At 39.3% G+C, this 14,090-nt stretch overlaps 1 protein-coding gene across 8 annotated transcripts in view; it reads right to left on the bottom strand.

Annotated features, from left to right (window-relative positions):
- The window catches only part of AMPH (amphiphysin), a 247,670-nt gene that overhangs the window by 110,415 nt on the left and 123,165 nt on the right, over positions 1-14,090 (bottom strand). For all 8 annotated transcript variants that reach the window (XM_006715690.5, XM_011515271.4, XM_017011996.3 and 5 more), the window contains exons 3-4: positions 9,532-9,586; positions 315-409 (exon numbers count right to left, since the gene is read on the bottom strand). In XM_006715690.5, the coding sequence (XP_006715753.1) occupies positions 315-409; positions 9,532-9,586 (150 nt within the window). The remainder of the gene's footprint in view (positions 1-314; positions 410-9,531; positions 9,587-14,090) is intronic.

Here is a 14,090-nt window from a genome sequence, read left to right on the forward strand (position 1 = left end):
GCTAATTTTTTTGTATTTTTAGTGGAGACGAGGTTTCACTATTTTGGCCAGGCTGATCTTGAACTCCTGACCTCAGGCAATTCACCCGCCTCGTCCTCCCAAAGTGTTGGGATTACAGGCATGAGCCACCGCACCTGGCCCATCTTCACTTTTCACTCTAAGTTTGGAATCATCAGGCAGCAGAACTGCACAGTGCCTTCTGAGCACACTGTCTTGCCTCATGATTAAGACTGTGAAGTGGAAAGAGCAAGTCAGGGGACAGGTGGACTGAGCAAGGGTCGTGGGAGCCTCATGGAAGCCACCCCAGCTCTTACCTCACCAACCATTTTCACATCTTCCCGCCCATACCAGTCAGGCTCATAGACTTCATGCAGCGACTCTGTGAGCTTCATGGAGGCCTCCTGCATGCCTAGTGTTGGAGAGAAACAACTCCCGTTACACAGAAATGAGTGAGGATTCTCTTCTCCCTTCCTCCACTTTCTTAAGTGAGAGAAAAATATTGTACTTGCTAAACATTTAAGGAAAAACTATAAAGGCACAACTGCTGCTTGTATCTGCTGTTGTATCTTTCTTTGAGGGTCTCTAAGACTTATCACATTGCACATTTTCTATTATTCACTTGATAATGATAGATATGGGGTCTCGGGAAAGATCAACAAGTATCCTACTCTGAAAACTACAATAATCATAGTGTGTCCTATTACGTGTGCTATCACTTGCCAAGTGGTATCAGATGCTAAGAACACTGGTCCATAAAACTGCAGAGTTCTCAAACTAAAATTAGTCCTAAATGAATTTAAATACATGGCATAAAGCATTTTTAGAAGGGACTAGAAGTAAAAATCAATAGGATTATAGGGCATAACAGTCAAAAGTGGTTAAGTGGCCTAAAATGGTAAACACGGTTAAAGTGGTTAAATGGTTAAGTTTTAAGTGGCCTAAAATTTTTACAAAGAACAAAGAAAAAAAGTTTGTCATTTTCCAGTATAGTAAGTCCTTACTTAATGTCATCTATAGGTTCTTGCAAAGTGTGACTTTAATTGATACGATGAATAATGAAACCAATTTTACCCAAGGCTAATTCATATAAATAAGAGTTAAGTTACCAGGACATATTTTTCGTCACAGACACATCACAAAACTTCTAACTAAATGTCAAAACACTTCTAATATTGAACATTGAAATAAATGAGAGCAGTACACACATTTAAGGAAGATTAATAAAAACAAGTAAGATAATTATTTACTTACTTACTCCAGTTTAGGGTCATGGGTGACCAGATCCTCTCCTAGAGGCTCAGAGCACAAGATGGGAACCAGCCCTGGACAAGATGCATATCATCGCAGGGTGCACTTACAAACCCACACTCACTGACATGCCAGTAAACTTCACCTGTATATCTTTGGGACGTGGGAGGAAGTCAAAGTACCGAGAGAAAACTCAGTGTACAAATTCCATACGGACAGTGGCCCTGGCTGAGATTTTTTTTTTTTTTCTCATCATTATTGTAACAAAATGATGTTGAATGAAACAATGCTATTTGAAGATCTGCTGTATTATTTAAAACTATGAATGAAGTTTTAAATCAAAACTCTTAGAAATTTTAGGGTTCCTAAGCCTTTGGGTCTGAATTTTCATTAGGGATACATTTGATATGTTGCAAAACTATGGTTTGCAACATTAAAGAATAGCATTAAAGATATATGCTTCTGAGCACAACATGGTGACATAAAGTATCACCCAGTCCTTTTAGTCTCTCCCAAGGACCCCCTGCACAAAGGTTAATGAATGTACTGAAAAGCCACGAAGACAGCTCATGGCTGAGAGCAAAACAAGGGGCCAGGAAGAGCTGGGGACTTGGAGATGCGCCTCCGGCAGAAGACTCTCCCCGACAGCCGGAAGGTGGGACCTGGCCACATTGATGTCTTGGCCTTTGTCACTACGGGGGATAAAAGGGGGCTGGAAACAGGGAGAGGAGAGGAAAATCAGAGCACTGTCATGAGAAATAAAAAACACATCCTGTAAACTTAAGGTCAGTGAATCCTAAGATAAAAATCATTTGTTAAACTGAAAACTCAACATTCTTGCTGGATTGGAGGTAGCTAATTCTGGGTTCAACTGTGAGAGAAAAGGACAAACTAAAAGATGTCTGAAATGACAGAAGTACATCCTTGAGGAGTATGTATAAAAGTCCACATGTAACTTGGTGTTTCATAGCACTTGTGCTCTCTTTAGACACAGCCAACATCTCCCTTCCCTCAGAGCATCGCTGGGCACATTCCACGAAGCCCTTGACAATGAGGTGTCCTGCCTACATGAGCTGAAGAGACTTGACCACCATCGGACGAAGCCCTTGCAGAGTCTGGGGTAGGAAAAAAACAGTATGACTCAAGACTCTGGGGACTCTGATGAAACAGAGTCGTGCAGGTGAAGGGACAGCAAATAGGAGACAAAACCTGAATCCAACCCATCGCACTCTGAATCCAAGCAAGGGGGGATGCGTTCTCTCATGATATGGTCAACACTGAGGTGGAAGCTACATTATGCCAAGTGTCCAAATTCACCCTCACCCAAGTACAAGCAAATCTCTATCAAGAAATATACCCCTCAAATTCATAACAAGCGTTAGTCACTAGTGGACCCCCTTCTATAATCCAGATGCCAAAAAACTTCTGGCATTTTCTTTAAATCTTTGTCTTAAGTCTGATGGAAACTATACACAACTGTGTAGATAGGTTTTTAACAATGTCTTAAGAGAAGAAAAAGAAATTTGGCACTGTAGACCAAATAATCTTTGTGATGAAAAATAAAATCATGAATATAACCTTAAAATAAAATTATATAAGATTTTAATCATCAAGACTAAAAGCATGATGTTGCAGTAAATATGTCTATTAGCAGCCAAAAGAACTACTAATTACAGGGTGGATAAGTGGTGATGGATCATTTGGACAGAAGCCATTTTGACATGGAAATTGTTTTGAGAACATCTACTCCATAGGATGCACTTTGATGGATACACAGGTGAAAGGCTTCAAGCCTAGCTCCAGACTGGCAGAGCTTTTAGGGATTTAGGGATTACTCTTCTGACAGAGTATGATGGGCGAAAAAAGCTAAAATACAAGTTCTCTTCAGAGTAATTTGGAACATCAAAGCAGAAAAGGTGCTAAATGCTACCTCCGAGATTGAATAATATACAATATCCAAAATTTTCTTAAAAGATTAGTGATTTCTAAAACTGTAAGACAAATGCCCAGCATCATATACAGAAGAATTATTATTATTTTACTACTGGATGGGAACCACTTCACTCTTTTCAAAATTTTGGACCTTCTCCAAGACATTTCATATAACATTGTCTATTCCCATTTGCAGCCAAATTTGTGAGCTTCTATTTTCATCCTTTAAGACTTGTTGCATAGATTGCACTACTTTATAAGTACTCCTTGCTTAAATAGCCTGAGAGTATGTGTTTTAGTTAAAAATAACATCAGTTAAAATAAATTACGATGATAACAAGCAGCAGCGATAAACCATTAAAAGAACGTCTAAAATACTGCAAGTATCTAGCAGCTTTGTCCCATTGCTTAGACGAGAGCTGTGTAAAAAGACAGCAGCTGCCTCAAAGGAAAGCAAGAGTGGGCATCTTTTTCTTAGATTCTTAAGGAGAGCAAGGATGGGAACAAGAGTTGGAATAAAATAGGCAGTTGGTGAGGTAGCTCAAGAATAGTCAACCCTACCCCTTAGTCATGCCTACACATAAGACACATAAATGAAGAACTATTAATGACACCACGTGCACTGTGCTCCATTTAGAGAAAGATCTGGCATGTTCATCATCCCTGTGTCTGGCCTCTGCTGCACCTGCATGCCAGTGACTCCCAATTCTAAATTCCTACTGGACATCTCCACTTGGATGTCTTACTAATACCTCAAACTTCACATGTCAAAAACAAACTCTTAATTTTCTTGTCCAAACCTGCTTCAACTCCTTTTCTCAGTTCTCATGAATGCCATCCAGTTGCCCCAGTTCAAAAACTAGAAGTTATCCCAGATTCATCCTCCCAAAGCTGAGTCACCAATTCCACCTGATTCTTAAATCTAGCCCCTTCCTTCCCTGCCCACTGCCCTTCCCTGGATTAGATACTCATCACCTACGATTTAGATTAGATAACCTAATCCACATAACACGATTTAGCAAAGTAGTTGGCACAAGCAAATGTCCAACTGTCAGCCATCACAATACAAAATATTTTTGGAGGCAACATAACAAAATAATTAAGACTATTATTTGCAATTAATCAGCCTTTGTTAAAAGCTTGGTTCCATTACATGTGATTCATGTGATTTTAGGCAAATTATTAATCATCTATAACCTCAGTTTTCCAAGAGGTAAAATACTAATAAATAAACCTGCCACAAGGTTGTAGGGAAAATTACATAAACTGAGACATGTCAATGCTTATCTCAGTGCCTAGCATATAAGTGCTCAATAAATGTTAGCTAATAGTATTATTGAACTATTGGACTAAACTTCTACTAAATCTCCATGCAATTTCACTTCTTCTAGCCTGAATTCCACACAATCACAATAACTATTTTTCTAAAATGCTAATCTGATCATGGGACGTTTTCCCTTGTCTACAATAACTCTAACAATGACTCTCCTGTCTATTGATAGAATAAAATCCCCATATGATATGATACATGAAGCACTTCTTTATATAAATGCTGCTGCCTTTCCATGTTTCATCCAGCTCAGTTTTCTGCTTGCATCTCACTGCTCTGTTTGTTCCCTCAAGAACCCGTGCTTCCTTCTGCTTCCTGGCCCAGTTGTTTCTTCCACCTGCAATGTCCCTCTGAAATCTATCTTTCTCTAGAAAACCTAATGACTTGATGGCCACCTATGACCCCACTTCTTGGGTTCATTCAAGTGTAAGTTCCTTGGAACAACCATTCCTGCCCCAGTCTCTTGCCTCTCCTAAGGTGTGAATCTGTCCTCTGTTATGATGGCACTCAATGCACGTATCTATTAAAATACATATTACTATGCCTATCTGGCCTTTTTATTTAAGTGTCTTCTCACTCTGCTGTGAGCTCCTTGCAAGCAGGCACTATGTCTTGTTCATCTCTGCATCTCCCTCTCCTAGAACAGTGTCAGGTGCACAAATGGAGCTCCAGAGATGTTTGCTGCTAAAATGAATGCAAGCATAAGATCTGCCTCACAAAGCCTAAGCATCAGCAGAAATCATAAAGACCCATAGAGGGGAAGCCACCCAGAGATCAGTCACAATAAAATGATTAGAATTCATTTAACCCAACTTCACAGAATCCCAGTTTTGGGGCCTTTAGGGGCTTCTGAGAGAACTGAAACATTTAATAGATGAGGAACCCAAAGCAACTAAGAGGCTCAATGATTTTCCCACAATTGCCCCAGGACCCATGACCCTCCAGGGCCAAATATCACTTTCTCCTATGCTGCCCTGATGCTACCTGTGTTATAGCAGGATTAGTGAGCCAGAGTTGTCCTTGGGAAAACAAGAAAAATTGCCCATGAAAGCCTTTGAAAATGTAAATTATGATCTACTTAAGGCATTGATATGGTTTGGCTCTGTTTCCTTACCCAAATCCCATCTTGAACTGTAATAATCTCCATGTGTTGTGGGAGGGACCTGGTGGGAAGTAACTGATCATGCGGGCGGGTTTCTCCCGTGCTGTTCTCGTGATAGTGAATAAGTCTCATGAGATCTGATGGTTTGATAAAGGGGAGTTCCCCTGTACATACTCTCCCTTGCCTGCTGCCACGCAAGACATGCCTTTGCTCCTCCTTTGCCTTTGCCATGATTGTGAGGCCTCTGCAGCCATGTGGAACTGTGAGTCCATTAACCCTCTTTTTCTTTATAAATTACCCAGTCTGGGGGCATGACTTTATTAGCAGCGTGAGAACGGACTAACACAGGCATATACCTTGTTTTCAAGTTTGGTCCCAAAACCCAAAATGTGTTCCCAGGAACAATATTCATTCTTCACGAGGCTTTGAGAAGAGAGAAGGGTCCTGCAGTCAAATAACTTGGAATTCCTGCCTGTCCCACAGGACTTCTGAGTTGACTTTAGCATATTAAGGGCTCTGAGAAACTCAGTAGTAGCCTGTTTAAAAATTCATTCCAATCAGCTGTGGACAAAGTAATTTAAGCAGAGATCTCTTTTTTGGAGCATCGCTTGTTAACATAGTCAATCAGCAAACCCAAGATGGGGAAAAGCTGATAGAATTCCTTTCTCCGTCATATGGAGCTGTGGCCACTAGCCCTGGAGTGCAGGTGCCGTCTGCCAGAAAGGCTTATCTGATGCTTCACCCAGCTTTTCTCTGGAGCTCAAGCCTCATCCTCAGGGAATTCTTCTAGATCACATTAAGGAAAAGAATTATGCCAGTCTCTATAAGCAGCACGCTCCACACCAAAGAGGCAGCATAGACCAAATCAAATAGACTTGGGAAAGAGAACTCACTCTTTCATTCAACAAACTTATCCACATTTTCAAAAAAATCAACTAACCCAGAAAAAGTCCTGTGCTTGAAATGACTTCCGTGTTCAAATCCTAAATCAATAATAAAAGAAATACCTAGAGTGGCTTCTATTTTCTGACTGAACTGTTACAAATACTTAAGGTTGATTTGGGAGTAATTAATGATGAGCTCCATCAAACTGTGGAAGTTAAATTCTCTGAGACTTACTTCTTTGCAAATGTAAAATCAAGTTAATGACATTGATAATATGGCTATGTTGGGAAGTTAGAAACAGGTAATATGCCTAAAATGCTTAGCACAGACTCTAACACATAGTAAGTGCTCATGAAAAAGTAATAGTAGTAGGTTGCCATTATTCCATTGTATAGATGAACTCTGACTTGTGAAACCAATGCCTTACCATTGGTCACGTAGTTCAAAGGCAGTAAAAGACAGTAGATAAAACCAGGGCTCTGGAGAAACACAGAACGAAATATGCAATCTGGCCCTGTTGTTTCCTTGGCATGCAACCTTGGATGAGCTATTTAAACTCTATTTTAAAAAATCACTTTTTCTTTTCCTTTTTTTGAACAGGGTCTCACTCTTTCACCCAGGCTGGAGTGCAGTGGCATGATCTCCACTCACTGCAACCTTCACCTCCCGGGTTCAAGCAATTCTCCTGCCTAAGCCTCCTGAGTAGCTGGGACTACAGGCATGCGCCACCACACCTGACTAATTTTTGTATTTTCAGTAGGGTTTTGCCATGTTGCCCAGGCTCATCTTGAACTCCTGGCCTAAAGTGATCCACTCGCCTCAGCCTCCCAAAGTGCTCGGATTAAAGGTGGTGTGAGCCACTGTGCCTGGCTGTAACTCACTTTCTTATCTATAAAATGAAGATAATAAAACTACCTGCCTTATAGAGCTGCCATGAGAATTAAAATGATATGCCTGGACTATAAAATTCATAAATATCTTTTAGTTTAAAAATCAATTTTGCTAATTTTTATTATTTTGGCCATTTTTAAATTATTGATATTTTTATTATTTCATTATTTAATAACATGTTTATATTCAGTTCTATACATCCACATTAAAACTGTGAGAATAAATTCTTAGAATGAAACTGGTATGTTAAAAAGCATACCAAATAAATAAATAAATAAATAAATAAATAAATAAATAAAAGATTTTACCAAATGCTCTCCAGAAAAGCTATCCTCCCAGCAATACATGAATGGAGTCCACTTCCCAGAGCTTTACCAATTCTAAATATGACAGTATTTTATTTGTAATGTGTTTGAACATTTGGAGGAAAAATGATAAAATCTTCTTTTCAATGCTACTTAATATTATTTGATTATTCATGAGGATAAGGCTTTTTTGCGTTTATCATCCATCTATAGTTCTACTTTGGCTAATTTTCCCTTAGAGTTTTCTGCCCATTTTTAATTTAACCAACTGACCTTCATTTAGTTTACTCACTGAGCTCTTTATATCTTGATTTACTTTCACTATGTTGTCAAAATGGTGTTTTTAAAAAACATATTAAGTTTTACATACTTACGACATCAAATCTCTTCATCTTTATGGAGAGATTTATGGGTTTCTGCCTTGCAAGTAACCCTTATAAAGACCTTCTCTACAGCCTAGAGACTAAATTTACTGTATTTTATTCTAGTACTTTAGCACATTTCTTTGCACAGCGATGCATAGCAGACACACCTGACAGTGATAACTTAGGCATCCCCTGAGAATCACCCTGTATGGTAGATGCACCTGAATATGTGCTCAGAGTTCTGAGCTAAGGAATCTGGGAGTGGCCAACCGAGAGATTAATTCCTTGTCTACAAGGAACACCTGAGCCCTGAGCCTGTCCCATTGAAGGTGAGTCATACAGGGGATTGAGGCCATGTGTTTTGGGTTAAACGAAGGTTGCCAGGTGGAGGTTGTTAGGTAGAGGATGCTAAGCAAAAATGTTACAGAAACTGCATTGCTTTTTGCAAACGGATGTAGTTCTCCTGCCCAGCCTGCCACCACTTGGCTGTGCAATACTCCTGCCCAGCCCTGCCATGACTGGGCCCACTCTGTATGTAAGTTTCCCACTAATAAAACCCTGTGTCTTGTTTGCTGACTCTGGGTCCCTTCTTCGGCCCCTTGAACCTGGTGCCATCCCTACTGAAGTTAATAGAGTCCAGTACAACAACATATTTACATCTTTACTATATCTGGAATTAGGAAGGAGGGAGTAAAGCGTGAGGTTGAGAATTTCACTCTGTTTTCTAAGTGTTTGGCCAGTTTTCCCAATACCCCTTGTCAGATGATCCATTCTTTCCCCACAAAATCTGCCTTATGATACATCATATCCGTGGGCACACTTGGCTGTGACTCAGGGCAGGCAGCGTGATGATGGATAGCAGGCACAGGCTGAGCCACCTCCCTATTGCTCTCTTCTCCCTCCTCCAGTGGCCTCATTTCCTTGCCTTACATGGCTGAGTCCAGAAACTCATGCTAGGGCCTCTCCATGCCTGTGCATTGCACGTCGGTAGGGATGCAAGCGCTGCTAATCCACACAAGTCAAAGCCAGTCCAGGGCCATGTTTGCTGATCATCTTCCACCTACCTTTGCCACCATGTCTTGCCCCTTCCAGTGAGAGGGCTTAGGTGCGTGTCTGTGAGTGCTCCACTCTTGGCATGTGGTCTCCCTCAGGAGGTAAGCCGGCTGCAGCTTTTCTTAAACAAGGTCTCAAGCTCACTCTAAGAAATTTTCCTGGAAATCTCTGGCATGTGGGTGGCATTTATTTCTAGTTTCCAGCATAAGGGCACACATATTTTTTCCTTATATATTCTGATTATCATTTCAATGGGAATTTGGGGCGGGGGGGTGGGTGGTGGAATGGAACACCTGTGTTCAAGCATCCATCTTGCCAGGAAGCCAAATGGCTTTGTAATTAACACTCAATCCTGTCACTCATGAATTCCAAGAACAACCTGTGCTAAGTAACATGCAGTAAACAACTCATACACATTACCTTTGATTGCTGCTAAATATCCTCGGAGTTCTCGCTGAAGTCTGGTACCCTCTGCCTAAAAAACACAAGCACAGATGCTAAATATCTAGTCTATATTCTGCATGAAAACATGTAAGAAGTGCTAAGTCTCAAAGTTACTATTGCCAGAAGCTCATTCTTGGAAAAAAACATAAATATGTGGACACAGACTAAACAAGGCAATAATGTCCATCAGTCTAGATATTTATAGAAATTTTGTTCCACTTCAAAGAGCAAAAGGAGAAGGCAAGATTTTGCTAATAGATAATACAATTCATTACACATCTTCTAATTCAAGAGCTATCAAATTTCTAGATTTTGACACATGGGTTATAATAGCAGGGAAGTGATCACCATTATCTAACATGGTAGCCACAAGCCACATATGGCTGTTGAGTACTTGCAATTGAGATGTACTGTAAGGGTATTTTCCATTTACAGTGTAACTGTATTTTATACAACATATTTTAGAGACTGAGTACCAGAAAAACCTCATTAATTTTATATAGATTACATGTTAAAACAATAATATTTTGGGTATATTGAGTTAAACTACATTATTAAAATTTCATCTCTTTCTTTTCACTTTAAGGATGTAGCCACTAGAAAATTCTAAACTATGTAGTTTGCATTATATTTTTATTGGACTGCATTGAAATAGAGAAACTGTTAAATTGTAAATGTTGACATATGAATGCCTGTTTTGGTTTGGATACTTTTTTAGAAACTCCGAGACTCTCTGAAACTAGGATGAGACTGCAAATAGTTTAATTTGGAGTTAGTCAAAGAAATGCCAATAGGAGAGTAGAGAAGTGAGGCAGAGAAGGGAAGATAGCTGATACAGACAGCGTTATCAAGCAAGTTACCACTGTGGGCAACTGGACCTCAGTTCCACTCGGGAACTCTGGAAGACAGTGTCAATGAAACACCCTATAGATACCCTAACTGAAAGGCGAGGAAGCTGAGGCGTTTATCCAATATCTCCTGTCAGCTATGTTTCTAGAGCTGCTCCTAGGGGACATTAATTCCCCAATATATCTATATAGAAGCAGAGAGGGCTCCAGAAACCAGAGAAGCCCTCAGGCAAAGAGTTGCCAATGCTGGCACGTCAGTCTTGTGGGCTCAGAAAAAGGTACTAGGGGCATATGTCTGAGCACCAACAGTAGCTGCTATGACTCTACAACTGAAAGTCGATTTAAAACATGCATGCATTTTAATTGCATAGTCATTTAACAAAATTGCAGAGAGCTAGCATACAGGACTCCACCTTGAGCTCAATAATAGGACAGCAACTTCAATAGCCATGTTCAATTTAACAAACATTGTTAGTATTTGCCCAAAAGAGTGGTGGTGGGGGGACCCTCTTTCCTCATTATAATCTAGTGGGGGAGCTAAAATATATAAGCAAAAAACAAAACAATTGCACTGCAAGGCATATTACATTTAGCATTGCAACAGCCATTCAAAGTGTTGAAGTACAAAAACAAAATGTCCATCACATTTAAAGATAATGATTAATACAAATAAACTGACAAGAAATAATTAAGACTATGCTTGACGGCAAAAGGGATTCTGAATTAGGATATTTTCCATATAACACTTGCATTGTGCAGGTATAGTGGCATTATTTCCTTGAAATCTATGTAACACTCAGGTGAGGTATTCTGTATTTGAGTTAAGCTCAGGTTATTTTTGCAGCTCTATAAACCCGGTTACTACCAGACAAAAGCTTAGGATGAGTCCATTTGCTGGCACGTATGAACTTCAAACAGAATGGTTCTATTCAGAATGGCAAAGCAGAAATCAAAGTGCTAAACAATTGACTCCCTTTCTAGTGTCTCAACATGGTTTTAAATCAAAACTCAAGGTTTCTATTCCCTTGTTGAAACATGCAGAAAGTTTGTGTGATGGCAAACTTCCATCAGCTAGAGAAAATAAAGCAAATCATGGTGGGGTTCCAAACAGCAAAGTGTAGTAGAAAACTATTTCCAGAGAGAGGAAGAGGAGAATAAAGAGAAAATGCTGATGATAAACACTTGAGTAAAAGCAGTCGATGAAGAGGACCCAGAGAAGTCAGGATGAAGTTCTCAATACCACCAAGAAAAGCATATTGCAACAAAAGAAGTGGGTCTTTCCCCTACTAAATATCCATTATATGAGAGCATTGTGTCACATTCTGAGTACATAAATAGTGGAAAAAATATGGCTTTGGTAGATTTTATTGTCAATCTATGCTGCAACTCCCTACCAGATCTGTCATTGGAGAAAGATCATACTTCCTGCCTCAGCGACATCAGGCTTGGCTGTAGGACTGTAGACAATGAAACTTAAGTGGAAGTAACATGTGCTACTTTCAAGCTGAAGCTATAAAAGCCATCACATGCTCCTGCCATTTCTTTCCTCTCCCCATACAGAATTTGTTTCTTCAATCTGGATCCCAGAGTGAAGGGACCACAGAGCACAGCCACCACCTGCATTTTCATGAGTGAGAAACTAACCTCTGTTGTTGAAAGCCACTGAGATGTTGCTACCATGGCATAACCTAGCCCAAACTGCCCAGTAAAATGATTCACCATCAACAGAGGAAATGCTGAAATGTGGAGAGAGGCTGAAATCTAACCACAACAATAAAAAGCCCAATAGAATTAGTGAACAGAAAAGAAATAAAAGCATTTACAGAAACATTTCAGAAAAATCAAACTGGAAAGATGAAGGACAAACTGAACGGTTCACAAATGGAAGCCCAAGTGGTGGTCAAGCAACGGAAAGAGATAGAATGGAACTGAGAGAGAAGCAAGCTCCAGAATCATTTGTCCCATCAGATTTCAGATAATTTAAGAGAGAATAATATCTGAAATTTACCTGGACAAATATAGACCCAAACCAATCTAAAGCCTAAAAGCCCTAAAAGGTACAATTAGGAGGGCTTGAATCCATTAAGGCCACATTTCTCAAACTAGATAATTGTAGAATCTGGGGGCATTTAGTGGTTTGTCTAGGGCACATACATCCACAAAACAAAGCTAAAAGATCTGTCTGGAACATCAATTTATTGAGGTGAAGGGAAAGAAATGGAAGAGAAACCATTATTTTACAACCACTAAGCCACCTCTTAAGAAGTCGGATAAAAAAATAGCATGGGGATGAAACACAGAACTTCACAGATTTCTGCTGCTTTCAGCTGTCTGCTTTAGGATTCTGCTGTACCAGTCATGGTCCTTCCATGGAAATGTGTGAGGGACACCGAGTTAAGCAAGGCTCACTTCTCACCCAGAAGGATGTGTTCCCTCAGTTATACAGAGCCGGCCATGAAAAGGGATGGTTATGAGTCACCAGGATTGCTCAGAATATCCAGAAATAGCAAAAAAGTAGCAGGGAAGGGCATTCTTTTCTCAAATGTTCAAGGAACAAAGTTATGTGAAATTAACCCCACAATTAACTAATTGCCTTTTCCTTCAGTAGAAATAAAGTGAAATAATTCAGGCTCCAATCCATATACTGGATTCATCTTGTCGAAGGGAAACACTGCAGAGTTTTTTTTTAAATGAAATAAGAAATCTAGAAGAGATTTTTTATATAAGAGTGGAACAAAGTTCAAAATTGTACAATAATTGCTTAATAAATGAGTTCAAATTAAGCAGATAAACTAAAGGCTGATTTAAATGACTTTCTTCTTTTCCAATTATTAAAATTCTTAATTTTCCCCATGAGTATTTCGGTTTCATGAATCACTCAGTAATAGCCACACTGAATTTCATCTAAAATTCTACCTTAATCAAAAAGGTAAAAAGCTCTGGAGAAAAATCCTCCACCTACAATATGCCATAAAGTAGTTTCTCCTGTACAAAACTTATTGCACAATAAAATTTCCTTAAGATTGTTATTCTGCAGGAATAGCAGATGTTTGAAATTAAACAAATTCTTATAACATTGCTCAGATTTCACTGAATTTGAAGCTGATTCCAAATCCCTTTGTAAAGTATCATTTTAGTAATTCAGCCGTGAATTATGTATTGCACATGTGTGTGCAGAAAACAAAGTTCTACACCCTTGAGATTATATGCCTGTATTTTCCCTTCTTGTTTCTTTATATCATTTTCTACAAGACATCAGGAAATTATTGTTCTATGTCCTGGTCACAGGGATCATGGCAACAGGAGGGCAGGGGAGTCTATTATAATTAAGTTGTCTGAATTGCCTAGTAATACTCCTTCTTAGAGAAGATCCAACTGCATGAAGGTGCAACGGGTGTGGGAAATTATTGAGTCAAGCTGTTTTTTGTTTAGATACACTAAATTCTGAAGCGCTGCAATATATTAATATTAGTAAATACATATGCCAAGACTTCAAGAGTCTTTAAAAAGGTATAATTTTGTTAGTTTACCTTTAACTCAGTTATTTCTGCCCAGAAGAAAGGAGCCATAGTTGAGGCATTAATTTAATTTAGTTGTGGACAAAATTCATAGAATGAATTAATGATTTCTAAGGAACTAAACTTAGGGCAGCAGCAACCACTGCACAATTTAGGGGCACCATTCCCA

Source organism: Homo sapiens, chromosome 7 (assembly GCF_000001405.40).
Source record: "Homo sapiens chromosome 7, GRCh38.p14 Primary Assembly".
Classification (NCBI taxonomy): Eukaryota; Metazoa; Chordata; class Mammalia; order Primates; family Hominidae; genus Homo; species Homo sapiens.